The sequence below is a fragment of the Homo sapiens genome, chromosome 17, assembly GCF_000001405.40.
Source record: "Homo sapiens chromosome 17, GRCh38.p14 Primary Assembly".
Taxonomy (NCBI): domain Eukaryota; kingdom Metazoa; phylum Chordata; class Mammalia; order Primates; family Hominidae; genus Homo; species Homo sapiens.
Window position 1 is genome coordinate 17033294 of NC_000017.11, and position 26684 is coordinate 17059977.

Here is a 26684-nt window from a genome sequence, read left to right on the forward strand (position 1 = left end):
CATGTAGACATACACCTTGTTATTAGAGTTTTTACAAATACGGTCTCATTCAGCAAAAACTATGTGAGGCCATACATACTTTCCCCTTAATATGTTGTGAATACATTTCTATACTAATAAATATCTACACCCTGATTTTTTGAATAATTTTTGTTTAGTGATTTTAGATTTACAGCAAAGTTCCACAAAGTTCCCATACTCTTCCCCCACCTTCCCCTAATGTGAACATCTTACATAATCATGCTACATTTGTCAAAACTAAAAAGTTAACATTAGTAAAACATTATTAGCTGGACGACAGACTCTATTAGGATTTCGCCAGTTTCCCACTAATGCCCTTTTTCTGTTCCATGATCTCATCCGGCATCCCACATGGCATTCAGTCTCCGTCATCTCCTGAGGCTCCTCTGGTCCCTAACAGTTCTGAGTCTTTTCTTGTTTTTCACGACCTTGACACATTCGAAGAGTGCTGCTCACGTATTTTGTAGAATGCCCCTCATCTGAGTTTGTCTGATGTTTTTCTCATGAGACTGAGGTTATTAGTTTTTGGGTAAAAGATCACAGAGGTGAGGTGCCCCTGTCATTGTATCAGGGGGTACCCAGTAGCCACAAGACTTACCACCAGCGATGTTGAGGGAGCATCTGCTGAGTTTCTTCACTGTAAAAGGACTGTTTTTCTTCTTTCCATAGTCCATTAGAGGATGAGGATGAAGTTCTGCCTCTTGGAAGCGGTGGTTATCTATGTGTATTATTAGAATCTGATTTTACATGACAGAACAATGTTTCATTTTATGGATCTGCCCTCATTTATTTAGCCAGTACCCTAATGTCACACACTTCCATGACTTTCAGCTTTTCTTTTACAAACAAAGCTGCAAACCACAGCAGGAGCTCAACTTCAAATTCAAAAAAAATTGTGGTTTGTTTTTTTTTCTTTTGAGATAGGGTCTTGCTCTGTCATCCAGGCTGGAGTTTTAGTGATGTGATCACAGCTCACTATAGCCTTGAAATCCTAGGTTCAAGCAACCCTCCTGTCTTGGCCTCCCAAGTAGTTAGAATTATGGGCATGAGCCACCATGCCTGGCTAATTTTTAAAAAATGTTTTTGTAGAGATGGGGTATTGCTATGTTGCTCAGGCTGGTCTGGAACTCCTGGCCTCAAGCAATCCTCCTGCCTCAGTCTCCCAAAGTACTAGTATTACAGATGTAAGCCACCACATCTGGCCTCAACAAATAGTTTTCAAACAACTTCTCTGTAACAGACACTGCACACTCTAGTGAACAATGTTTGTATACCTCTTCAATGTTCTTTTTTCTTCTTAGAATAAATTCACAGGTTGGGATTACTAGGGCAAAAGGTAAGCACATTGTTAAGGCTCTTGATAAGTATCACTAAACAAAGCTCCAGGAAACTTGTACTAATCTGCTCTTTGGATTGACAATTTTATCTTTTTCAGCCTTTTTTTTCTTATTACAAAAATAATTTCTGTTTTTAGGAGATAACTGGAAATCACTCACTGGGCATTTAATGATATTAAAGAATTATTGTTTTTTTAGGTATGATAATGGTATTGTGGCTACTTTTTGAAAATAGTTCTTATCTTTTACAGACACACACAGTAGATGAGGGAGTATGGTTGAAACAAGACTTGTCCTGAGTTGATATGGAAGCTGGGTAATGGATACATCCACCTTCATTATATGATTTTCTCTATATTAGTAAGAAAACAAAAGCTTTTATTAAAAATTTTAAACATGATATAAATCTCTAGCTTAAGTGTGAGTCCCCATTCTTTCACCTCCCAGGGTTAACTGCAATGAACGGTTAGGTGTATGTGCCCCTGACCTTCTCCATGTAAACACTAACTGTGAATATTGCTAACACACACACTCTTAAAACAAGGATGAGCTACTACAATGCACACCATTTCTCCAACAGCTTTTCACTTCACCATATTTTGAGATGGATGGCCACGTCAACACTATCTCAGTCTTTAACAACTAGCCCCATGGTACTCCCCTGTATCAAAGAGCCATAATTTATTCATCCGATCCTCTAATGATAGACAATTGGAGTATCTCCAATTTTTGCTATTAAGAACAATGATGGAATGAACATCCTTGTACATAATATCTGTGTACCTGTGTGAGCAATTTTACAACCTATCTTTCTAGAAGTGGAATCACTATGTCAAAGTGGTCACAGACTTAAAATTTAAATAACATGTCCAACTTGCCCTTCTGGTGGACTTTCTGTGTCAAGTGCACTACATTCTCTCCTAGTGCACATCTGGAGACTATTGTCATTTGGTGCCTGCTGTAGAAAAGCCTCATGGCGTCACAGCTGGAAAGGGCCTCCGAGATCTTGTGGTCTTGCTTCCAGGGAAGGGTGGGGCCCAGCCCCCGATGCTGTCAGGGCCACGTGCAGCTCCCTGGGCTGGAGGTTGTGTAGAGCAGTGCTCACGAAGATACTGCCCATGTCTGAATCCCAGGCTTACCATTTACTGTTGTATGACCTTGAATACTTGCCTTGTCCGTGCCTCAGTTTTCTCATCTGTAAGCTGAGGATAATACTAATTCTGGGGTGGCAACTGGAAAGGGGTTAGGAGATTTTTCTTGAAGCTACATTAACAAAGTATATATTTATTTGGGGTGGCTTTCAGGGGATTGATGGATGATGGGGGGTGGGCACTAAGGACTCCCATCAGACACCACCAGCGCTGCCAGAGCTAATTTCAAATGATGACAGCTGGACTTAGTGAGATTCGACGTGACGAATGCCCAGCACACGGCACACAGCCTGGCACACTGTCAGTGCTCGATGGTTGTGAATTCTTGAATGCTGACAGGTGCTGTCTGGGACAGGGAGACCAACATTTCAGAGAGACTGTCCAGGAGAGGGAGGCCCGAGCAACAGGAAAAGAGGGGACCCAAGAAACAGCCTAATCCAGCCCGCCACTTACTACTTAAATAAAGTTTGATTGTAACACAGCTGCGCCCCTTCATTATGTAATGTCTATGGATGCTTGCACTTGACAATATCAAAGCTGAGTAGTTTCGACAGAGACCATATGGCCTGACAAGGCTAAAATATTTAGTATCTGGCCCTTTACAGAAAAAATCTGCCAACCCCTGGCATAGGGGTTATAGGCATACTAATACATGCTGATAGTTCTTGAGCTCACACCGTGTTTCAGGGACTGTTCTAAGCACGTCACATATATAAATTTCTTTAGTCCTCACAATACTCGTATGACATGGCTACTATTTATGGTAGCTAGTCTCAATGGTGGCCCCAGTGAACCACGTCTCCTGGGGCTGACGCCTCTGTGGGCCCCCCACCTCGAGTCTGGGACATCCTGTGCCGTGTGCTGACTAATGGCATGCGGTCGAGTGCCAGGCCTGGCATTAAGGAGGATGGGTACTTCTGCTTCTTTGCTCTGGGGAACACTGAGGTGCTGCACGCAGAGCAGAAGGGGAAGCCATGGGGAAAGGAGAGGCTCTGAGGCTGCAAGGAAAGGACGAAGGTCCAGCCAGCCCTGTCTCAGTCCAGCCTCCAGTGACCTCACCCAGCTACCATGCAGCCACACTTACAGCAAGCAAGACCAGCAGGACTGCCGGGCAGAGCCCAGTCCACTCTCAGAACCAGAGAGACAAGAAAATAGTGCTCAAGCCACTCTGCTTTGTGGGGTGGGGTGGTTCTGCAGCAATAGCTGGCTGAGACACACCACACCAGAGCCTTCGCCTTTCCACCCTCCTTTATCCAGTGGTTCCAACTCCTGTGTGGTTATGAGAATCCTCCAAGTAGCCTTTACAGACACCAATTAAATCAGAATATCTGGAAATGGACCAGAATAGGAATCCTTTTTTTTTTTTTTTTCTGAGACAGAGTCTAGCTCTGTCACTCAGGCTGTAGTAGCACTGTGGCACAATCTCGGCTTACTGCAACCTCTGTCTCCCAGGTTCAAGCCACCCTAGTAGCTGGGATTACTGGCCTGCACCATGATGCCTAGCTAATTTTTGTATTTTTAGTAGAGATGAGTTTTGCCATGTTGGCCAAGCTGGTCTCGAACTCCTGGCCTCAAGTGATCCACCTGCCTCGGCCTCCCAAAGTGCTGGGATTACAGGCCTGAGCCACCGCGCCCAGCCTCCAGAGTAGGAATTTTTTTAATCCTCCAGGATTTGAGAACCACAGCTCCACCCACTATTTCCAAAACTTGCCTAGCAGAAATATTTTAAAAACAGATTCTTCGGCTGGGCACAGTGACTCATATCTGTAATCCCAGCACTTTGGAAGGCTGAAGCAGGAGGATCTCTTGAGCCCAGGAGTTCGAGACCAGCCTGGGCAACATAGTGAGACCCTGTCTCTACAGGAAAATTAGCAAGCAAGGTGGCACACTCCTGTAGTCCCAGCTACTTGGGAAGCTGAGGTAGGAGGATCACTTGGGCCTGGGAGGTCAAAGCTGCAGTGAGCCCAGATCACACCACTGCACTCCTGGGCGACAGAGTAAGACCCTGTCTCAATAGCAATGACAAAATAGATTCGTGCACTCCAACAGATACACAATTCCATGGGAGGCCCTGGAAACCTGTAGCATTCACACATTCCTCCAGATGAATTTTATTATCAATGATTAGCAGAAAAAGGGCGAGATGAGAGCCCAGCTCTCAGGTGTGGAGAACTGCTTGGCAGTTTCCCATCAGGTTAAACATTCACTTCCCAAAACTTAGCCATCCCTAGTCTTGGGTATTCCCAATAGAAATAAGTGCTTGGCCGGGCGCGGTGGCTCATGCCTGTAATCCCAGCACTTTGGGAGGCCGAGGCAGGCAGATCACGAGGTCAGGAGATCGAGACCATCCTCACACAGTGAAACCCCGTCTCTACTAAAAAAATACAAAAAAAATTAGCCGGGCGTGATGGCGAGTGCCTGTAGTCCCAGCTACTCAGAAGGCTGAGGCAGGAGAATGGCCTGAACCCAGGAGGCGGAGCTTGCAGTGAGCCAAGATCGTGCCACTGCACTCCAGCCTGGGCGAAAGAGCGAGACTCCATCTCAAACAAAAAAAAAAAAAAAAAAGAAAGAAGTGCTTATGTCCACCAAAGACAAGCACGAAGATACTCGTAGCATTATTCATAATGGCCCCAAACTGGAAACATCCTGAATGTCTATCCACGGGAACATGGACAGATAAATTGTAGTATTTCCACACAAGGGACTACCAGGCAGCAATGAAAAAGAATGAAGTACTGATATATACAGTAGCCGTGTGGATTGAATTTCACAGGCATACTGTTGAATGAGAAGAGCCAGGCATAGCTCGCAGCGGATTCCACTCATCTATGGTGATGGAGATCAAAATAGTGGTTACCTCTGGGTATCTGTGTGTAAATTCTGCTCCCTAACAGGACACAGGGAAAACTTCCCAGGATGGCAGTCAGAGCCACAAATCAAGACTTACCTGCATTTGGGGCTCACCTGAGCGGCCTTTTCTTGCTTGCTTGCTTATTTGCTTTTTTGAGATAAACAATATACATTGAGGTGTACACAATGCAGTGAAAAAAGCATACAGCCCAGTGAATCTTTACATGTTTACACTGAGTATTGAACTTCATGCAAAGTGCTGTTCTAGGCCCCTGGAAAGGGAAGCCAAGGTTATGAGACACAGACTGTGTCGGTATGGATTTCATAATCTGGTGGAGGAGATATTACAATACAAGGTGGAACGATGACTTTTCATCCATTCACCCATGGGGTGTTTTTCTTGTTTGTTTTGTTTTTTGAGACAGAGTCTCACTCTGTCGCCCAGGCTGGAGTGCAGTGGCACGATCTCGGCTCACTGCAAGCTCCGCCTCCCGGGTTCATGCCATTATCCTGCCTCAGCCTCCCTAGTAGCTGGGACTACAGGCGCCTGCCACCAAGCCTGGCTAATTTTTTGTATATTTAGTAGAGACAGGGTTTCACTGTGTTAGCCAGGATGGTCTCGAACTCCTGATCTCATGATCCGCCCGCCTCGGCCTCCCAAAGTGCTGGGACTACAGGTGTGAGCCACTGCACCCCCATGGGGTGTTTTTGAGCCCCTGCTCTATGCCAGGCACTGAACTAGACAGGGGAAATGGAGTAGCAACCAAGACCCCACTCTACCGTGAGGGTTTTGGAGAGGAGCGCAACTAATTGATTCTACCTCCTAAACATTTTCCAAATTCATTCCCTTGCCTCCCACTGACCCTATCCTAGTCAGGCTGCTACCCTCTCTCCTCTGCAGCTCTCTCAGTCCTTGCCCCTGATTCATTCTCCAGATCAGCAGCCCTTACCTAAGTGCTCAGCCGAAAAAAATTCAAAATTGATGACTGCCCCTGGCCCAGGCAGCTCCGGTGCTGGCCTGTGTGGGCTCAAATCTTCACTTGTAGGATCTATAATTGTGACCACAGGCAAGTTCCTGATATGTCCTGAGCCTCGTGTGTGTCTTCTATAAAATGGAGATGAAATAGTATTAACAACAAAAACCATACCTGTCTCCCTGAAGAGGCTAGGCTTGCACCATCCACTACTCCTCCCAGTGCCTCTCAATGCTGGTCACTCCTGCCTCTCTGAACTACCCAGTGATAGAAAGCTGCTTCTGTTCATGAACACACCCTTTGGTTTCAAGGCCTGAGACTCTATAATTGGTGCCCCAGTTTGACGTGTCTTTCCCTTCACCTTCTCTGGCTGGGTCTTACTCAGCTCCAGACTCGGCCTAGGCATTGCCTCCTCCAGGAGCCTTCCCTGAAGCTGCCTACGGGGCTGGGTGCCCCTGTGTGGGCCCCCACAACACCCCGGATTGAACTTCTCTGTCTCCTGTTTCTGTTTGTCTCCACTTGCTTGAGTGTGGGCTCCTGCCGGGCAGGCTGCCTCTGAGTTGCTGAATGAAACTCTTCTTTGCGCCCCTACTGTGGACCCCTCCAGTCCAGTGCAGGTGCTGGATGTGCCTACTGACCTGAGCAGAACATGCTGAGCACTTTAAGGGAGGTGGCCTTGAGGAATGGGCAGGACATCAAGAAAGAAAATATATATATATATATATATATATATGTATGTATATATATATTTTTAAACAAGTTGTACATGCAGACAATACTAAATTCAGCAGAAACAAAAGGGATTGCAATGAAAATTAAAAGTAGGTCACCTCTCAACCACCCAGCTCCCCTCCCCAGTGGCCACCTCTTCTATCAGTTTCTGAGTATTCTCTGCAGGGCAGAATTGTCAGTCTTCCGTCCCTTTTTTATTTTGCAAAAATTTAAAGCAACAGAAAAGTTGCAAGAATAGTACAATAAGGCCGGGCGCGGTGGCTCACGCCTGTAATCCCAGCACTTTGGGAGGCCGAGGCGGGCGGATCACGAGGTCAGGAGATCGAGACCATCCCGGCTAAAACGGTGAAACCCCGTCTCTACTAAAAATACAAAAAATTAGCCGGGCGTAGTGGCGGGCGCCTGTAGTCCCAGCTACTCGGGAGGCTGAGGCAGGAGAATGGTGTGAACCCGGGAGGCGGAGCTTGCAGTGAGCCGAGATCCCGCCACTGCACTCCAGCCTGGGCGACAGAGCGAGACTCCGTCTCAAAAAAAAAAAAAAAAAAAAAAAAAAAAAAGAATAGTACAATAAACACCTTTTGCCTAGATTCACCAATTAACATTATGCTACTTAACAAGCATTATATCATTTAATGTTCACATTAATTAATTAATGCCAATTTTGTACATGAGGTCACTGAGGCACCAGGCAGGTTAAGGGACTTGCCCGAGGCCACAGAGCTCCTGCCTGGTGGAGCTGGGCTTTCCCCCTTAGGCTGCCAAAGGACTTTGATCTGCCTTCCCACAGCTCCCTTTTGAGGAAAAGCATTTTCTTACACTAAGTTGAAATCCACCTCCCTGGGATATTTACCAGATGATCCGTGGAAAAGTACACAGCTCTGGAAGCATTTGCTACTTCTCCTCCTAAAACCTCCTCCATTCCCTGAGCGACAGCTGCTGTGGCTGCCACTACCACATGCTCCAATGTCACCTCCTCCGTGAAGGCTGGGTTAGCTCACCCCCCTGTTTAAAGACTCACCATGACTCCCAGCTGCCAGTGGGATGACATGTGCACGCCTGGGCTTGGAATACAAGGCCTGGGTGATAGAGCCCTCTTCCAATCCCTCTTGCTCCTTCTTCCCCTATCTCCACTTCCAGCCACACTCAACCCTCTCACTGTCCACTTAAACTTCCCCTCCTCCTTGAAGCCACCCGAATTTTTCTAAAGAGCGCATTTCTCCCCTCTCTGGGCTCCTGCAACCTTCTGCCTGAGCCTTTGACAGCCTTTTCCAGGTTGTCTTTTGGCCAGGAGGCTGGACAATGGAGGACGGGAGTGACAGCTCGGCCCCTTCCTAGCAGAGTGATCCTACACAAATTACTCCAGGTGTCTGACCCTTCATTTCCTCAAGCACATCATGGGGGAAAGAATGCCTAGCTCAGCACCTGGCAGAGAGTCAGCCTTCGCTCATCTCCCCTAATGGAGCTGACAGCTCTTCAAGTCCGCTGACATCTTCTCTTAGTCATCCCTTGAAATACTACCCGCTGTTACTTCTCTGCTCCTCAGTCTCCTCCTATGTAAAATGGGGATGAGAAAGGAGAGGTTGCGAACCTTTAATGAGCGAGCCCTTGGAGTATCCAGCCCTTCCCGACGCTAACTGACTCCTACGAGGGGGCCTGGTACACAGTAGGTGCTAAACTAATCCTCTCCGAGCTGGGCTTGGGGAAGATGCCTCCGTTGGGTGTACAGCGTGGGCGCGGGAAGGCGAGCCTGGGAGCGAGGGGGTTGCAGAGAGGCAGCCTGAGGTCGGCTCCGCCTTCCCCCGCATCCCCCGCCCGGGCCCTGCAGCTGTCAGCCCGGCCGGCCTCGGCGCCAGTCCACCAAACCTGAACGTCCCATGCCGGCGCCCCCACCTTCCCGGCCTGCACAACTTACCTTGCGCTCGGCGGCCCTCGGTCCCGCCCCCGACTGCCATTGGCCCAGAGGTTCCTTTGTTAGCGAGAGCGCGCCAACCCCATTGGCCGGTGGGGCTGCCGATCGCGTCGGGCGCGGCCCCGCCCCGTACGCCCCGGCACCTCCCCGCGCCCGGCCGCCCGCCCGCCCGCCCGCCCGCCCGCCCCCGTAGTGCGTGAGGCGCTCCGGTCCCATTTGCAGCGGCCGCGGGGCGCCGAGGGCAGCTGCGGCGGCGCGGACGAGCCGGGACGGCGGCGACCGGAGCCTGAGAGGCGGGCCGCAGCGGGAAGCAGCGGGCCCGAGGCCGCGTCCATGGGCCCGCGGCGGCCGGGCGGCGGCGGTGCGGGCGGGAGCTGGGCGTCGCGCGCGCTGTGAGGCCCGGGCGGCTCAGGAGCCTCGGCGCGTGCAGCGAACCGCCCGCCGGGAAGGAGGCCGGGCCGGGCCTGCGGCGGGGCCGGCGAGGGATGCGGCGCGGCCGCGCTGAGCCCCTAGCCCGCCGGGAGCGCCAGGCCGGCCAGGCCTGCGCCGCCGCCGCCGCCGCCGTCGCCGCCGCGCCGACCATGTCGGCAGCCAAGGAGAACCCGTGCAGGAAATTCCAGGCCAACATCTTCAACAAGAGCAAGTGTCAGAACTGCTTCAAGCCCCGCGAGTCGCATCTGCTCAACGACGAGGACCTGACGCAGGTGAGCGACTGGGGCCGGCCCGGACACCTCCGTTCTGGGAGCCGCGGGTCGGCGGCCGGGGCGCCGCCAAGGGCTGCAGGGAAAATAAAAATGGAGCAGGGAAATGCGCGAGTCCTGGGGCATGGGGACGGGGACGGGAAGTGCATTGACAGAGCTGGGACAAAGGGAAAATCCTCGAGTATGCCGAAAAATAACATCCTTTCCCGTTCCCATTGCCCGGCTGTGTGATTCATGCTTTTTGGGTGACTCAAAAGTGCCTGGTTTCGCTTAGTAGGAACAAAGCGCTTAGGGATTGCATGCCGCTTGACGGGACCCCCCTGAGATTCTGGCTTGGGACTGGACTTGGATTTGTCCAGCCAGAGTGGCCCAGGGGTCGGATTGTTGGGGAGGACTGTGGGCTTCCGTCTAGTGGGACGCAGCCTGCCCCGATTCTGAATCATCGTCACTGTCAAGCACTGGAGAGAGGTGAAGGGGTGTCCAAATCTGGCGAGGAGGGTCTTGTTCTTGAACTTAGTTTGGCAGGCCGTAGTTTAGCGGGGAGCTGGGACCAGTTCCCTGGTCACTGGCCGAGGGGTGAGGAGACCTGTGGGTCCTCGGGAAAGTTGATTTCTGTCTCCCAGCCTTAACTGTCAAACAGGGCTTTGAACTAGTTATGACTCCCAAACGTGCATTAGAGTCATAGCCATTAAACACAGAGTTCTGGGGCCCCCGCCCTGGAGTGACTGGGGAGATGGGGAATTTGTATTGATGAAAGGCTCCAAGAGGCTTGGCTGCAGCCCCCATGGCCCTTGGGAACCCCTGCAGTGATTGCTGTTTGAACTCCTAGTGTTCCAGGATTCCGAGCCTTGTGTGCACCTCCTTGGGATGTGCCTCGGTACCCTCCCCACGGCCATCATCTCCATCCTCTTCAGAGCTTTCTCTCAGCCTCCTGAATGAAGCCAGGGGAAGTCCCTTCACATTCCAGTCCAGTGTGACCTAGTTGTAGCCACTCCTGTCGCAGAAGAACCCCTTAGACTGAAAACGAGTGAACGGGCCTGGTTGTTTTTAATGCCACTTCAGTGCACCCAGGGTTTGACTTGTTTACATGGCCGACTGGAGTAGGGTGGTGGGGCAGGGGTTACGGCCTGGGGCACGGGGCCTTTCTCTGAGGTCAGGTTTCCAACTGCCAGGAAAAGATTCCTTTCATCTAAACCCCAAAAGCTTAACGAAACACTCAAGGCTGCAAAGTCATAGATGGTTAAGATACCAAGGGTTTTAAGGACGGTCAGCTTGGGACGGATAGAACTCATTTACCTCGGAGGGTGTTTTGGAGTGTAAAGGAGAACTTGATTCCTTCTTCTCATCTGGATGCTTTTTTGGATGAAACAGTTTATGCGATGAGGAGTTGTTAGGAGACTTTGCTTCAGGTCTTGGCTGTCACTTCCAGCTGTGTGACCTTGAACAAATCCCTTTACTTCTGTATCTTTTAATTTCCTTATCTGTAAATTGGGAATCCTGGTCCCTGGCTTACCTCCTTCACTGAGCATTTGTGAAAAGCAAGAAATGATATTTTATGAAACTTTTTTCTCTTACAATTTAACAAACCAAAAAAACCTGCCACTTTAAGAAGTTTCTGGGCAAGGGTTGTTCTGAGAGAGGTTTGTAAGTTTCCTGGTTATTCTAAGCAACTGTCAAAATTGGTAAATTTACACCTCATAGGGGCTGTTTTCGAATTCTTAAGCTTAGATAAACTAGGATGGAATCTGCATGTTTGAGTCCAATCTGCTAAGATTTTTTTTAATCTGTTGATTATTAATTGGATTCACGGGGAGAGGCAAACTTAAAATACTGTACTCTCACTGTATTCAAAGTTGAATTGTGGGTTTTGAAACAGGCCTGAGACCTTCAGGGCACAACTGGAATGGTAGTTTCTGAAATAATGAGTGGGGTTATTTGTGCTGGGAGAGGTTAGCCCAGCATTCTACCTCCTGGGATCTTTCAGGAAGAAACTGCTCTTGAAAAGAGAGGAGGGAGACTCAGGGCTGTTGCCAACAGCCTTCTCTGCTGCTCTCTGCATCCGGCCCTCCCTCTCACTCTCATCCTTATGGCTCCATTAGAAAACCTCAACCAATCGGTTCCCATCAGTCTCCCCCAAGCCCCTGCTTCCTGCTGCCCCTCCCAGCCTGGAGCTTATTTTAGACCGTCAAAGCTGGAAGATACATCAGCCACCATCGAGGCCACTCCCTCCTTAAGAGGAGAGGATACTGGGCCCAGGGAGGTGGTGGGCAGCCTTGGCCGGCTTTTGCTCTGGAGATGTCATCTTCCCAGGAGCAGACATTTCTCTGAGCCTTTTGGTTTGAGGTTTATTTCCTCAGCTGTGGGTTTTGTTTGTTTGTTTTTCCCCTAGAGAGGCACAGAAACCTCTTGCAGGGACTGTATTATGGCATCAGACCTGGAAGGGACTTGGAGATCAGCTAATGTAACCACTTCCTCTTACCGGTGAGAAGATTGAAACCCAGAGAAGGGAAGTGACTTGCCCAGTTCAGGGATGGAGCCAGGATTCTGAAGCCAATGTTAGTTCCCCTACTCCTGTTCAGGGTCTACAGTGGCCACACCATGAGCACATGATGAGGACAATAATGTCAGGGATAGTTATGTTGCAGGAGGTGCCTTGAGAATGCTGGCTTGGAGCAGTGGAGTTCTTTGCCTTTTCCTCCTCACGGAAATTTGGAGTAATCTGGGATAAGTGATAAGTGACCGTCCTTTATTACTTGTTCCAGGCCCCTGTTCACAGAGTGTCATTTATCCTCCAGTTTTCCTGTGCATTTCTCAGCGACATACGGACCCAAATATACAGTTTTTTTTTTTTTTTTGAGGCGGAGTCTCGCTCTGTTGCCCAGGCTGGTGTGCAGTGGCGCGATCTGAGCTCACTGCAAGCTACGCCTCCCAGGTTCATGCCATTCTTCTGCCTCAGCCTCCCGAGTAGCTGGGACTACAGGCACCCGCCACCATGCCTGGCTAATTTTTTGTATTTTTAGTAGAGACGAGGTTTCACTGTGTTAGCCAGGATGGTCTTGATCTCCTGACCTCGTGATCCGCCTGCCTCGGCCTCCCAAAGTGCCGGGATTACAGGCGTGAGTCACTGTGCCCAGCTCAAATATACAGTTAAACCTTTTTATCCTGAACTGTGTGCATGTATTTGCTCTGCGACATATTTTTTGTTTTCTGCTTATCAGCATATCTTTACGTTCTTTTCATGGTGTTGCATATAAAGATGCCAGAACCATTTTGCATATTAGGCCTTTAGGAGTGTACTATAATTTAACCCGTTTCCTTATTGATAGACATCAAGGTTGCTTATGGGTTTTGCTGTTACATACAGTGAATGTTTCGGCAAAGAGTCTTATAAATACTTCTGGGTGTGTGTGCGTGCATGCATGAATGCAAGTATTTCTCTGGGGGCAGATACCTATAAATAGAATGGCTGGGTTGACATCAAGCGCATAAATTTTTTTTTTCAGATACCACGAAATTGCCTTCCAAAAAAGGCTGTGTGATAACATTTCCAGGACTGGATATTATCAAATGATTTAATTCTCTAATAATTTTCCTAATTACTCATGAAGTTGAGCCTTTTTTATAGTATTTACTGAGTATTTTTGTTTCTTTTGTGGATTGCCTGTTCGTATTGCTTGCCCATTTTTCTGTAAGGTTAGTTTTTCCCCCAGTTGATTTGTAGGAGCTTTCTATAAGTGCTTTAGGTCAGGGGTCTGCAAACTTTTTTGGTAAAAGGCCAAATAGTAAATATAATTTAGTGTCTGTGGGCTATATGGTCTCTGTCACAACTGTGCAGACTTTGCCGTCTCATCACAAAGGCAGCCGTAGACAACACATTAACGAATGAGTTCGAATGAGTTACTGTGTTCCAGTAAAACTTTATTTACCGGCAGGGCGCAGTGGCTCATGCCTGTAATCCCAGCACTTAGGGAGGCTGAGGTGGGTGGATGATCTGAGGTCAGGAGTTCAAGACCAGCCTGGCCAACATGGTGAAACTCTGTCTCTACTAAAAATACAAAAACTAGCTGGGTGTGGTGGCACATGCCTGTAATCCCAGCTACTCCTTGGGAGGCTGAGGCACGAGAATTGCTTGAACCCAGGAGGCAGAGGTTGCATTGAGCCAAGATCGTGCCACAGCACTGCAGCCTGGGCAACAAAGTGAGACTCCTTCTCAAAAAAGTAATAATAATAATAAATTTAAAAAACTTTATTTACAAAAACAGGCAGCTGGCATGATGTGTGGCCTGTGAGCCATAGTTTGCTGACCCTGAACTAGATATTAATCCGATGCTTGCCACGTATTGCAGGTATTTTTTCCCAGAATGCCACTTGTCTTTTTTGTGTGGTTATTTTTCTTTTTCATAATATAAATGCAGTTGGTCTTTTTTTTTAATAGTTTGTAGTTTTAATGTCATGTTTAAGGCCTACTTTCCAAGATTTGTAAAATAATTTCTCATATTCTTTTATAGCTATTTTTATACTTAGCTTTTTAATCTATCAGACTTGTTTTTTAGGAAAATAATTCTGGTTAAAGGCAGAAGATCTACTGGAGGCTATTAAACTGGGTAAATTACAATCAAGGCATTCTCTCCAGATCAGTGCTGGTGAGGATGGAAGGAATCAGACTCTAGGGACAGGATGTTGTTGGTTGATCAGAGGTGGGTGTTGAGGAACCTGGGGTAGTTAGAAGTACCTTTAACAGAGATTGAGAAGAACAGATTTGGAGTAAACTTGGGGGATGGGGAGGGGTAAAAAATAATATGGTAAGTTTGACCCTTATGGACGTAGAGGGAGGCTGGGTTGGAATTCTTAAGTCTTGGATGTGGAGGTGGTTGCTGAAATCATGGGAGTGAGTGTGAGCACTCAGGAGGCTGCATAGAGTGAAAGGAGAGGAACCAGCCTAGGAAGCCCCCATGTAGTGGGCAGGCAAAAGGGGAGCAGGTGCAGAGGCTGGGAGGTGAATCAGAGGGGTGGGCATTAGTGGGAGAAGCAGGTCTGGAACCCAGGGTGCTCAGCTTCTACATCCGCGTGTTGATCTGGGGGTGATGTCTCTTTCTCCTGCTGACTGTGTAACTTCAGGCATTGCCTCTGTGGAAGGAGCCTGCAAGCCTGTTTCTACTTCTTTGTCTAGCCCTGTTTTTTTGTGGGACCTTGGCTGGGTCATTTTCATTGCTCAGGCCTGTTTTCCCATCTGGAAATGAGCTCGGTCTTGATCTCTCCCAGGGTTCTTAGTCTTCCTGGTGTGATTCTGCCCTTGCTGTGCCCATACCCCACTGCCAAGGCTCCAAAGCTGCGGGGGCCTCAGGTGGGAATTTCAGACATAGAGGGTGTGGGCCAGGACGAGGTCTCAGGGAAGCATTTCATCAGGTTTCCCTTTGTTCCTGTAGACATTCGTAGAAGTTCTAAGGCATAGGACTTCCTGATTTGACTTAATGTGTATCTCAGAAACAACGGGGAGATTTCGCATCCCCCCCTTGTAGAAGATCTGTAACAGGAGTTGGTGTGTTGCTTGGCAGGGAGCGTGTCAAAAATCTCAGACACACAAAATCCCATTTCAGACGGCCAAGCACCATGACAAATGCTCAGCGTTGTCATCAGCGAAACCCAAATTGAAACCACAGTGAGATATCACTTCATACCTGTCAGGATGGCTAGAATTAAAAAAATAAGAATATAACATGTTGGCGAGGATGTGAAGAAGTTATAACTCTTGCACGTTGCTGGTGGGAATGAAATGGTGTAGCTGCTGTGGAAACAGTTTGGGGGTTTCTCAAAAAGTTCAGCATAAAACCTACCACGTGAGCCAGCATTCCCACTTCTAGGTATATGCCAAGAAGAATTGAGGACAGGTGTATTCAAACAGATACTTGTATACAAATGTTCATAACAGCACTACTCACAATAGCCAAACGGCAGCAACAATCCAAGTGTCCATCCACTAATGCGTAGATAAGCAAATCATAGTGTATCCATACCATGGAATATCATTCAGTTCTAAGAAGGAGCGAAGTACTGAGACATGCCACAACATGGACGAACCTAGAAAACATTGCGCTAAGAGGCAGACATGAAAGGTCATGTGTCACATACTGTGTGATTCCATTTATGTAAAATGTCCAAAACAGGTAAATCTGTAGAAACAGAAAGCAGATCGGTTGTTGCCAGAGCCTGAGGGTTGGGTGGGCAATGTGGAATGACTGCTAATGAGACTGGGGTTCTATTTTGGGGGTGATGAAATGTTTTGGAACTAGATAAAAGTGCTGGTTGCACAGCCTTGTGAAATGTACTAAATGCCCCTGAATTGTTCACTTCCAAATGCTTCTTGACTTATGATGGGACTTATGGTGGGGGTACATCCAGGTAAAACCCATCAGACCTATCACAAAGTCAAAATTATAAGTCAGGGACTGTCTGTACAAGAATCGCTCTCTCACACACACACACCTGCCTTCTGCTCCTTGTGTCACCTGGAGTGAATATCTGATTGTTTCTAGAGTCTAGACCAAGGCTTGGCAATTTTTTTTATAAAGGACTCTTCTTTTATCCTGGGGAACTCCTTCCCCAAGCCACTCTTTCCCACCTGAATGACACAGTTGGACCAGGTCGGTGGTTTTCAAGCTTTCATCAAATCCCGGAGCCTTTTACTCAAAAGAAATCTTGTATATTTTAGGTTTTGCAGGCCAACAGGCAAAATCGAGGAGGTTGTGTAGGATATAGCCACTTAAAAATGTAAAAGCCATTCTTGGTTTTGGGGTCTTAGAAAAGCAGCTGGTGGGCCAATTTGGCACAGGGGCACAGTGTGCCACCCCTCAGACCAGCCCTGTCCTCTAGAACTGTAATGGAAGCCACATAGGAAATTTTAAATTTTCCAGCGGCTACGTTAAAAAAGTAAAAAGAGGGGCCGGGTGCAGTGGCTCACGCCTGTAATTTCAGCACTTTGGGAGGCCGAGACGGGCGGATCACGAGGTCAGGAGATCAAGACCATCCTGGCTAACACAGTGAAACCCGTCTCTACTAAAAATACAATAAATTAGTCGGGGCCGGGCACAGTGGCTCACGCCTGCAATCCCAGCACTTTGGGAGGCCGAGGCGGGTGGATCACGAGGTCAGGAGATCGAGACCACGGTGAAACCCTGTCTCTACTAAAAATACAAAAAATTAATCGGGCGTGGTGGTGGGCGCCTGTAGTCCCAGCTACTCAGGAGGCTGAGGCAGGAGAATGGTGTGAACCCGGGAGGCGGAGCTTGCAGTGAGCTGAGATTGCGCCACTGCACTCCAGCCTGGGCAATAGAGTGAGACTCCGTCTCAAAAAAAAAAAAAAAAAAAAAGAGGTGAAATTAATTTTAATTATGTTTTATTTAACCAGATATATCCAAAATACTGTCATTACACCATGCAAAAAAGTTATGACGTGCGCATTTTACGTTACAGCACATTTCAGCTCAGACGAGCCACTTTCCCACTGCTTAGTAGCCTGGTGGTGTGGCCGCTGCCCGCAGTCCTGGTGGCAGCCCTGGGGTGCCACAGGTGGTGGTGAGTTTCCTCCGTCCCTCCCTTGGGCCTTGGGTTGGAAGGTTCCTGGAGTGCTGCTTCTCTGGGACTTGTTACTCCTGTTTGTGTCCCCACTCCTCCTTGGCCCTTGGTGTCTATTGCCAACTTTTGAAGTTTCTTTCTTTGACTATCACATCTTTGATGGCTTCTTTTGGTGTGTTAGAAGTTCTCTTCTGGGCTCTGATCCCCACTCCCTGCCCAGAGGCAGAGTTTAGGGGCAGAAGGGAGGAAGGTCCTTGCCAGGGCCTCAGGCCTGTCCTGTGGGGAGCCGGTGAGGGCCGTGGTGGGCAGGCTGGCGTATCCCCCTCTAAACTGGACGTGCAATGTTCCAGTATTATGTAATTGCACCCTAGCTTTTTTCCCTGGGTTCTAGCCTGTTACCTGATCTTTTCCTCTGATTTCTCTTTCCCTTGCCACACAGAAGGACTATAGTCCAAGGCCTATGTTCTCTTCCTGACACAAATGTGCAGGGTGACCCAGGAAGGTGACTTATGTCTCCCACCTGTAAAGCGGGTGCCTGCCTTCTCTTTGCAGAGTAGTGTGCTGATGGAATGGGGAGTTCCTGAGCCCCCCATGTGGTGAGGGATGTTCCAGGAAGCACGCTGGCTGCCGCCTCTGGGGGAAGTAGCCTTTCTTTGGGCAACCTCATGTTCTTTAGCAGAAATAAAGAAATTTAACTCAGAATGTTTAAATTGTTCCCAAGCTGCCACTTAGTCTTGAAAGAGGGAGAGAGTGTGGCAGCGAGGCACAGGGGAAGACATCCTACTACTGGACATGGAGGATCATTGGGTGCTAATTTGGAAGCATCTGACCTAAGAAAACGGGCTCTTCTCTTATCCTGGGAAACTCATTCCCCAAGCCACTCTTTCTCAGCTGAATGACACCGTTGGACCAGGTGGATGGTTTTCAAGCTTTCATCAAAAGCAGTGCAGCTCTGGGCAAGGCAGCCAAAGCCTGGAGCTTGGCCTCCCATCCTGGGGCGGGGTGGCGGGGGAGGGCCTTGGGTCATCTCTGGGGCCATTTGGGGCAGGTTCGAAAACTCTGCCCTAGATTTTGTGCTTTTTCCAGTTTTAGCAATTGAGGCAGTCTTACAGCTGCTCTGGAATGGAGCCCCCATGCCCTACCCAGAGCTCTCAAGGCATTGTCACTTCCGTTGGGGGCAAGAGCACCTAGGGGGTTGATTCACTGACATTTTGTCTCTGGAAGCTGGAACTGAAATCTTCCAAACCACTCACTGGTTTTCTCAGTCAGGGTCATCCTAGTTCACATGAAACCACAGCCTGGTTTTTGCCTGGAGCCTGTAACCCTTCTGGCTCCTTCCCCTTGGGCGCAGCTTGGCGGTTGCATGCTGTGCCAGAGGTGGCCCTGGTGTCAGAGCTGCTTTGCAGCGAGACTCTGAGTGGATGGGCCTGCCGGATCCTTTGAACCTCTACCTACTATATTGTGTCATAGCCCGTGATTTCACACAGACCTCAGCAGGCAAGGGTGGCCAGCAGGGCTGGTGGCAGCAAGGCCTCCCTCGGAGGAGGGGACCCTGAGTTTTCAGAGTGGTTGAGCGGCCTGCCCAAGGTCACTGAGCTGCTCAGCAATGGGGCCGTGATACAGATTTCAGCTCCATGAGGCTCCCGTGCCAGAGTCCACCCTGGCTCCAGACTCCACCCTGGCTCCAGACTCATCCTCCCTGTCCTTGGGAAGGCCACTTTGCTTTGTAAACTCCTTAGTGTTTTTGTTTGGCCCCGGGGCAGATGGGTAGTAGGGAGATTGGTATATTGCAGTGCTGCAGAATAAATCACAGCTGTTTCCTGGACTTCTAGTTCCTAGCCCTGGGAAGAGGGACCTGCTGGGGCTGTCTGCACCTGCCCTCCCTGCCTTTCCCCCACATTATGCAGGTGAGGGATTGTCTTCAATTAGCAGATGGAGCCGCCGAGACCTGGAGAGGTTCAGCAGAGGTTCAGCGACCTGCCTAGGTCACAGGAAGTCCAGCACGATTTTTTCCAAAGTCCTGTTTGGCCACCTTGTCTCTAATAAGTGTTAACCTTTGCTATCAGGAACAGGGCCTTGCCCCAACTTGGACTCCTTAGTTCTTGAGTGTGTGGTGGGGCGTGTGTGTGAACGGTGCAGGCTGTTGTGCAGGGCATCGCCCAGATCTTCACCTCTCCTCAGCCTCGGGGTGCCCCACATCCCCAACATGGGCTACTGGCCTAGGCAGCAGCCACACCTTTGGCACAGCTCTGAACAGGAAGCACAATTTTTTCCTCTGAAAGAGGAATTCAGAATCAGGAAATAGCTTTGTCCTTGATCTCTGTAGGTTCTGAGGCACTGGATTTAACAGACCCACAAGCAACCGTGGCGCACTTTCCACACAAGGTTTCTGACCTCCTCGTGGTCCTTCCCATAGATAAAGGGGCCAAGGGAAGGGGGAGCAGCTGCAGGGAGCCCCAGCTGAGCCAGAGAAAGGGGCCATGTCTCCTGGGTCTCCTGATGCCATACCCAGAGCCTCACTATCAGGACTGGGTGAGCCACTTGAGGCTCAGGAGCCTCAGGGCCGCGGGAGGGGTGGGTCAGGGCATTTGCATGGCTTCTGCTTGGGGACCTGCTCTGACCTAGAAATCTGACACAGTCCCACTTTTCATTTCAGTGCGCCCAGGCAAGGGAATTGGAATGGTGGCGAGCCCAGATTTGAGTTTCCATTCTAGCTCCATTTTCCATGCTAATGGAGCAAGTTACTTAGAGCTGAAGCATCTATGCCCCTCATCTGAAAACTGGGGGGTTATAATAATAGTACCCATGGCTTTGGGTCCTGATGAGGATGCAGGAAGATGCTTCCAAAGTCCTCAGCAACCGCAGGATCTGTGGCAAGGGCAGAGTTTGTAAATACTGGGTTATATGGTGGGTGCTTAGTAAATGGGGTCCGTTTTATCAGCAATAAACCATGTAGTATGGAGCTGTGTGTGGGACACGGATCTTGCCCTTGGGAAGCTCTCACTTAGCATGCTGGCCCATCTGCTCTTGAATGTCCACCATGGGCCAGGCCATGGGCGAGATGGGGCAGGGGCAGTGCGGGGAGCACCAGGTCCCCATCCCTCTTAGGTTACTGCAGAGAAAACAGCCCAGGGAGGGGACCTTCCACTGTGATTTTGTGGGCAAGCTGGCCCTCAAACCTGTTTCTGTCTGTCCCATGCCCATTAAACAGAAGCTCAGGCCCATGCCCATTAAACAGATGCTCAGGCTGTCTCCTCTCCCACTGAGCTGCTCTGCACCACCCTAGCAGCTTTCTTATGTCAGCCCCTTGAGGACTGGAAGGAAGTAGTCAGTTTGCCTTGTGTGTGTTTGATTTTTCAGAATGTGTAAGTACAGTAAGTCCTCACCGTCATTGATGGGCTCTTGGAAACTGCTACTGTAAGCATAACAACACACAACCAAACCAATTTTATCATAAGCTAATTGATATAAACAGGATTTAAGTTTCTACGGCATATTTCAGGTTATAAAAATTAACCAAACTTCTAAATAAAGATCCAAAGTATTTCTAATATTAAACATGGAAATACATGTGAGCTATTATATACATTTCAGGAAGATGAATAAAAACAAGTAAGATCATTATCTATACAAGTTTTGGTGAGTGATGACAGTGAGTGATGACAGTCATGGTGGTAGGTTAAATCAAGGAATAAATGTCTGCAAAGTGAAAATTGTAAGGCATACCTCCTACCACCAGGAAGTTCAAAAACAAGGACAAAAGCGGTGGGCTGGCTGAGTGCTTCTTACTGCATAGTTTATTGTCATGTGTTTGTGTGATTATCGTAGACTTGATGACTTTTTAGTAGGCAGTTACCTGTATTCATTCATGCGTTTTCCAGCTTGCTTATTCCAGTTCAATGTCACCGGTAGCTGGAGCCTCTCCCAGGGCACAAAGCCTGGACAGGACGCCGTTCCATCACAGGACACACTTGCACCCACACCTGCTCAGACTGGGACCACTTAGATGTCCAGTTCACTGAATGTGCACATCTCTGAGATGTGAAAGAAAGCAGAGTACAGAGAAAACCCACGGAGTCGTGAGAGCACACAAACTCCACACAGGCAGTGGGTGCAGGAATTCTTTTTTTTTTTTCCTCAACATTGTTATAACAAATCAATGTTGAATGAAATGGCATTATTTGAGGACCTGCTGTGTAAGGACTGAACTGATTTTAAGAATTTTTAGGTCAGGTGCTGCGGCTCACACCTGTTATCCCGGAACTTTGGGAGGCCAAGGTGGGCAGATTGCTTGAGCCCAGGAGTTCGAGATCAGCCTGGGCAAGACAGGGAAACCCTGTCTCTACAAAAAAGTAAAAAACATAGCCAAGCTTGGTGGCACATGCCTGTGGTCCCAGCTACTTGGGAGGCTGAGGTAGAAGGATTGCCTGAGGCAGGAGGTGGAGGTTGCAGTGTGCTGAGATCACGCCACTGCACTCCAACCTGGGTAATAGAACGAGACCCTGTATCAAAAAAAAAAAAAAATTTCTTTTTTTTTTAGAGGGTAGGAAGTGAAGGGGCCAGGCTTCATCAGCTTAGGATTTAATGTTAGAGGCCACTTCTGTGCCCCTGTCAAGCCCAGAGAAGTCATGCAGGTCCCATGAAGGGCAGAGCAGATCCCAATTTTAGGAATTTCTTTGATGGGTGTATGAGTTGCCATGGGCAGTGTGGGAGAAGATTAAGAGAAGCCATGCTTATCCCACTCGTATCCATGGAGCAACTGCCTTGCAGTTGTCTGGGAAGGAAAATCCTTGTGCCGGGCCTGGTTGAAATGCCCAAGGAAGGTAGAGAGGATCCCAGAGCTGGGGAGCCGGGTCTAGTCCCAAATCACTGGGTGGGTGGGAGATCTGGCCAGGACGTTTCGTGGCCCCCTGGTCACCAGTGTTGAGTGGGTCCCCTCAGCTGGCAGGCAGGTCCTTCCAGCCTCTCTGTCCACCCTACCCCCAGCCTTTACAAGTCATTCACCCTTGCAGGGAAAGGCACCTCTGCTGAGGGGACCCTTCTATGAGATCTAAACAGGAGGAGTCTCTTCTTTTGAGCCTGAGAACGAGCTCTTCTAATAGGCAGATGTCACCTCGGCAGACAGCCCACTACTTCTCAATTCCACATCTCCCTTCCCGCCTGGAAACCCCGTGAGCCTGGGAGCTTAGGAGTCCTCTTCCTAGGGGGCCCGGCCAGCTAGCACCTGGCCTTCTATGGTGTGGAGGTTTTCCTATACGGAAATTGCTGAAGGGTGGCCTGCCCTGGCATTGTTTTGTGGCGCTGTTGGTGGTATTCATAGCTGACAGGAATTGCCATGTGCCAGGCCACTATTAGCTCATTTATATTTCCAGCAGTCTCAGAAGGCGGAGTTAAGAGAAGGGTAGAGAGAGGTAGTATAATATGCCTAGAGCAGCTCCTCTGGTGGCAAAGCCGGGAGGAAACCCAGCTGTGGGACTCCAGGCCTTCCCTGTCTCCACATGACTCGAGAGGACTGAGCTTGGCCTTGAGACCATCAATGTCTGGCTGTGTGTGGCCCCCTTGGCCCCTAGTGTCCAGGAGCGGGGCTGACCACCTTGGCATGTGCGGGGAAGGGTGGGGCTGACCTCATTTAGCTTTCCTGCCCTTTTTTTGCTCCTCCTTCCACCGTGCTTCTGTCCTACCTGTTTCTGAATGGGAAGGACGGCTTTTTGAGGAACAGGGTGTGACTCTTCCCTGCGAAGACGTTGCCCCAGAAATTTGTCCCCACGCATTCTCCAGCCCTCTTCCCTTTGCCATGAATGGCGTCATGTTCCAAAAATCCTGTGGCCACGGGCTGTTTGTCAAGACCAAACAGGGAAGAGGCTTTTAAAATGTCACTTTCCCCCTCCAGCTTGAATACAGTGGGGAGCAGGGGCAGGGGCCGGGGCTGGGCTTGCAGGACCTGTGTGTGGGCAGAGGGAGGCCAGGAGCCCAGTGGGAGTTGGGGGTAGTTTACAGCCAGCCAGCAGCTGTGGGCCCTGCTGTCCCCGTGCTATGATGGGGTGAACTGTGTGTGTGGTTCCTTGGTTTTGAGGGGTTTTTTTTTTGAGGTGAAATTCACGCAACATAAAATTAACCATTTTAGCATGTACAATTCCATTGCATTTAGCCTACAGTATTGTACAACTGCCACCCCTCTTCAGTTGAAAACATTTCCATTGCTCCAAAAGAACCCCCCACCTTAACTATTAAGCAGTCACCCCCGCCTTTAGTCCCCAGCAACTACAAATCTGCTTTGTGCCTCAATGGATTTACCTATTCTGGAAATTTCATCAAAACAGAATCATACCATACCATATGTGACCTTTTGTCTGTGGTGTCTTGCACTTGGCCTAATGCTTTCAAGGTTCATCCACCTTGCAGCACAGGTCAGAATTCATTCCTTGTATGGATGGTAGACAGTGGGATTGCTTCACCCTTTTGGCCGTTGTGGATAGTGCTGCTGTGAACACAGGTGTGCGGGCATTTGTCTGAACACCTCCTTTCAGCGGACCCCAGGAGAGGACTTGCTGGCCTGTGGCCATTCTGTCAGTGAGCTGTTTGGCATCAGCACCTGGAGCCACATGTCAGCCCTGCAGACTGCTGGGTGGGAGGGCTATGGGTGGGTCCCAAATAAGGCCTGCCCAGAGCCTGGGGCTCTTCACAGAGGAGTCTGGGATGGAAACTGGGTTCCTGGACCATCCCTCAAGAGTCGCACACATGAAATGCCGCCATGAGGCAGTGTCACGGGGCGGTGCAGGGGTGGCTCAGCTGCTCGGAGGTACACGCCTTCTTTCTTCCCTTTTTGTCTGACCTGAAGATCATCTGACTGCCAAGAAAGAGGCAAGTTAATCCTTAAACATTGTTGGAAGGAGGGCTGTGGGGCATGGGAGCTGAAGGCTGGAGACCCCAGGGAGACGCGGTGCCTTCCCAGTGCTAGGTGCTGGGAGCTGCTGGCAGAGGGCCCACAGAGCCCCACAGTGGTCCCCAGAGGACCTTGGGGTCAGCTAGAGGGAAAAGGCCTTTGCTACGCTGTTCATCACTGTTACCAGTTTTCAACCTTTATTTCTTTGGCAGCAAAACACCCACCCCCTTGAAATGAAACGTGGAGCTCACATATATGATGCACGAATGTTCTCATGTTGAAGGACAGGAAGAGGAATGGCATCAGCTATGAGACCACCCTGACCCCCACCCGCTGCCCCATCCTACACCCGAGGTGGCCCCTGAAGCATGACCTCCAGGGATCTTCACAGTTTGAAGAGCCGCTGATATACTCTAATACTTGCAGTAATATTTTTTAATAGAATGCAATATTGGATGTACACAAAAGGATACAAGCAGCATACATTTACAATATAAATCTAAATAATAAAAATGAATGCTCGTGAACCTGCCACCCAACTTAAGAAAGAGAACACTGACATCCATTCAAAGCATCCTTCACGCCCCTCCCCAGTGGTATCCCTTTCACAGAGGTGACCTGAGATGATTTAGGGGTGGGAGCCGAGGCCCAGATGGGTAGCTCAGGCATTGCCCTTCACACCAGTGCTGGTCGAGCTGTTCTAGGGAACACGGACAGAAGCACATTCCAGTGGAGTCCCCTGCTTTTCTGACTCCTCTCCACAGGCTCAGGGACGTTAGTCCTGTGGCACAGTAAAGGTGCTTATGTTTGTGGTCCTTCAAGCCCCTCTTTGCAAGCAGGGACCTGGGGAGAGGATTCTAGGGGCCAGGGGGAGCAGGGACCCAGGGAGGGGATCTAAGACTATGGGGAATGGGGACCCAGGGAGGAGAGCTCCAGGACTATTAGGAGTAGGGACCCCGGGAGGGGAGCTCCAGGGCCGTGGGGAATGGGGACCTGGGGAGGAGAGCTCTAGGACTGTTAGGAGTGGGGACCCGGGGAGTGGAGCTCCAGGGCCGTGGGGAGTGGGGACCCGGGGAGGAGAGCCCCAGGGGCCATGGAGAGTGGGGACCCAGGGAGGAGAGCTCCAGGGACTGTGGGGAGTGGGGACCCAGGGAGGGCTCCAGGTCCATTGAGAAACAGGTGTTGCCTCTGTCACAGCCCCTCCTCCTGGCCTCCTCACCAAGGCAGAGGTCCGCATTGTTGAGAGAAAGGTTTTCCTGTCTGCCTGTGCCTTGGAGTCTGTTTCATTTCCAGATGGACCATATGTAACACAGCCACCAGGAGCAAGTCTGGGGTTAGATGTCGCCTTTTAAGGCAGTGCTGTTGGATAGAAAGGACTCTTGAGTAGAAACCAGGAGATAGACTTAAAGGCAAGTTTGTGTTTGGGCACATGGCAACTGAGAAGTGGGATCAGCAGGGCTGCTCCCCAAGCAAAGGTGCAGAAGGGGTGGGGACGTGCTAGGGGAGTGGGTGGCTAGGTCAGCAGTTCTCAAACTTTTTGGGTTCCAGACCCCTTTATGCTCTTGATTATTGAGGCCCTCAGAACGCTTTAGTTTACCTGGGTTATGTCCATTGGTATTTCTTGTATTAGAAGTTAAAACTGAAAAAGTTTATTCATGAATTCACTTAAAAGTAACAATAAGCCTATTATGTAGTCACGTAACATATATTCTGAAAAATAACTTTTCTAAGACAAAAATTTGCTGAAAAGCCTCACATTTTTAACTCTTTGCAGAGCTCTTTACGGTCTGCCATAATGAAAGACAGCTGGGTTCTCAGAGCTTCTACAGTCTGTGGCCATAGCATGTCCTGTGTAGCCTTTGGGCAGCTCTACTGTACACTCATGAAAGAGTGAGAGAGGAGGCAAAGGATGTTTTAGTATTTTTATTAAAATGGTTTTGACTCAGGGACCCCAAAAAGGGCCTCAGGGACTCCCACCTTTGCAGACCACTGGTCGAGCTTAAGTTGGGCCATGGGCTTGAGGAGCATGCCGGCCTCTATAGGAGGGGCAGTGCAGTTCACTGTTCCAGGCTGCGCCGCTGCCTTGGGGCCTGCTCGGCTGTGGCTGTGTCAGCTTCCCACAGACGGTGTCCCCTGACTTCCATTTCTGAAGTCTGTCATTTGCCCCCTCCCAGGGAAGTCTCCCACACTCCTCCCCTTTGCTCCCTGGCATGGTGCTGAGTTCCTTTCCCTTTGCACCACCTTTCGTGTCTTCGTCTCCTTGTTGGTATTCCCAGAGGCTTTGCGAACTTTGCATCAGTGGCCTTGCAGAGGCTGGTAGACATCAGGGGCATCCCTGACCTGCCTCCATAGAGAGCAGCAGAATGTGGGGATGGGGAGTGGCCCAGTTGGGAGGTGAGCCAATTGCAGTCTGCAGGGTCCCGGGTGGGCATGGCTGTTCTGAGTTCTGGGACCAGCAGTCCTGGCATAATTAGCAGAATCCCTTTTCCTTCCCCAAGTACTCCCAATTAAGACAATAAATTACGTTGAGCACCTTACTGATGAGGCTCTGAAG

General features: G+C 49.5%; 1 protein-coding gene and 1 long non-coding RNA gene across 13 annotated transcripts in view, besides 6 other annotated features; one reads left to right on the forward strand and one right to left on the reverse strand.

The window, feature by feature from the left end:
* Positions 3307–3366: an enhancer, noted in NCBI's record as "active region_11786". NCBI's record gives its function as "activates an Ori minimal core promoter by ATAC-STARR-seq in GM12878 lymphoblastoid cells {active_cell/tissue: GM12878}" and the evidence as "EXISTENCE:reporter gene assay evidence [ECO:0000049][PMID:35858748]".
* LOC124903938 (uncharacterized) lies at positions 6050–9032 on the reverse strand. The gene is made up of 3 exons (XR_007065644.1): positions 8978–9032; positions 8488–8615; positions 6050–6464 (listed from the first exon to the last, which is right to left on the reverse strand). It is a non-coding gene; the product is annotated as an uncharacterized LOC124903938 (long non-coding RNA).
* Positions 8729–9188: a silencer, noted in NCBI's record as "silent region_8233". NCBI's record gives its function as "represses an Ori minimal core promoter by ATAC-STARR-seq in GM12878 lymphoblastoid cells {active_cell/tissue: GM12878}" and the evidence as "EXISTENCE:reporter gene assay evidence [ECO:0000049][PMID:35858748]".
* MPRIP (myosin phosphatase Rho interacting protein) overlaps positions 9164–26684 on the forward strand; it is a 150187-nt gene continuing 132666 nt past the window's right edge. For all 12 annotated transcript variants that reach the window (NM_001364716.4, XM_011523764.3, XM_011523766.3 and 9 more), the window contains exon 1: positions 9164–9678. In NM_001364716.4, the coding sequence (NP_001351645.2) occupies positions 9556–9678 (123 nt within the window). In that variant the 5' untranslated portion in view covers positions 9164–9555. The remainder of the gene's footprint in view (positions 9679–26684) is intronic.
* Positions 9851–11050: an enhancer, noted in NCBI's record as "P300/CBP strongly-dependent group 1 enhancer chr17:16946458-16947657 (GRCh37/hg19 assembly coordinates)". NCBI's record gives its function as "activates an origin of replication core promoter dependent on BRD2, BRD4, P300/CBP, MED14 and CDK7 cofactors, with strong dependence on P300/CBP, by STARR-seq in HCT116 cells {active_cell/tissue: HCT116}" and the evidence as "EXISTENCE:reporter gene assay evidence [ECO:0000049][PMID:35650434]".
* Positions 9851–11156: a biological region, named in NCBI's record as "P300/CBP strongly-dependent group 1 enhancer GRCh37_chr17:16946458-16947657".
* Positions 10862–11156: a silencer, noted in NCBI's record as "tiled region #13867; HepG2 Repressive non-DNase unmatched - State 2:TssF". NCBI's record gives its function as "represses a minimal TATA promoter and a strong SV40 promoter by Sharpr-MPRA in HepG2 cells {active_cell/tissue: HepG2}" and the evidence as "EXISTENCE:reporter gene assay evidence [ECO:0000049][PMID:27701403]".
* Positions 22671–23310: an enhancer, noted in NCBI's record as "H3K4me1 hESC enhancer chr17:16959278-16959917 (GRCh37/hg19 assembly coordinates)". NCBI's record gives its function as "activates a minimal SCP1, AML or CMV promoter by ChIP-STARR-seq in naive H9 embryonic stem cells {active_cell/tissue: H9 hESC(naive)}" and the evidence as "EXISTENCE:reporter gene assay evidence [ECO:0000049][PMID:30033119]".